This window comes from Homo sapiens, chromosome X (genome assembly GCF_000001405.40).
Source record: "Homo sapiens chromosome X, GRCh38.p14 Primary Assembly".
Taxonomy (NCBI): Eukaryota; Metazoa; Chordata; class Mammalia; order Primates; family Hominidae; genus Homo; species Homo sapiens.
Window position 1 is genome coordinate 104,366,139 of NC_000023.11, and position 977 is coordinate 104,367,115.

Here is a 977-nt window from a genome sequence, read left to right on the forward strand (position 1 = left end):
GCTGGGAGAATCACTACTCTCTTCAAAGCTGCCAGACAGGGACATTTAAGTCTGCAGAAGTTTCTGCTGCCTTTTGTTCAGCTATGCCCTGCCCCGAGAGGTGGAGTCTACAGAGGCAGGCAGGCCTCCTTGAGCTGCAGTAGGCTCCTCCCAGTTCGAGCTTCCCGGCTGCTGGCTGCTTTGTTTACCTATTCAAGCCTCAGCAATGGCGGGCACCCCTCCCCCAGCCTCGCTGCCACTTTGCAGTTTGATCTCAGACTGCTGTGCTAGCAATGAGTGAGGCTCCATGGGTGTGGGACCCTCTGAGCCAGGCACGGGATATAGTCTCCTGGTGTGCCGTTTGCTAAGACCATTGGAAAAGCGCAGTTATTAGTGTGGGAGTGACCTGATTTTCCAGGTGCAGTCTGTCACAGCTTCCCTTGGCTAGCAAAGGGAATTCCCTGACCCCTTGCAATTCTCAGGTGAGGCGATGCCTCGCCCTGCTTCAACTCTCGCTTGGTGGGCTGCACCCACTGTCCTGCACTCACTGTCCAACACTCCCCAGTGAGATGAACCCTGTACCTCAGATGGAAATGCAGAAATCACCCGTCTTCTGCATCGCTCATGCTGGGAGCTGTAGACTGGAGCTGTTCCTATTCGGCCATCTTAGAGCTTGTTCTTTAGCCATATAGAATTCTTTTTTATTCCCTGGAAACCTCAGGCTGTTTCTTGTTTCTGTGCCTTTGCTTGTGCCATTCCGTCTGCTTGAAATACACCCTTCATACCCACATCCCCTCACCCTCACCCCACCTTCATCCAATTGGTTAGTACCTATGCATTCCTTAAAGATCACCTCCTATTTCCTCAGCTTCCTTGATGCCCAGGGTAGACTTCCATCGTTACACTCTACTGTGTTCATCTGTTGATGAATCTGTCTCCACTTAGCAGATTTTAATCACCTTGAGGGCAAGCACTGTATCCTGCACTTGTCAGTGTAC

The 977-nt window shown here is 51.6% G+C and overlaps 1 annotated feature.

Annotated features, from left to right (window-relative positions):
- Positions 252 to 751: an enhancer, noted in NCBI's record as "H3K4me1 hESC enhancer chrX:103611071-103611570 (GRCh37/hg19 assembly coordinates)". NCBI's record gives its function as "activates a minimal SCP1, AML or CMV promoter by ChIP-STARR-seq in naive H9 embryonic stem cells {active_cell/tissue: H9 hESC(naive)}" and the evidence as "EXISTENCE:reporter gene assay evidence [ECO:0000049][PMID:30033119]".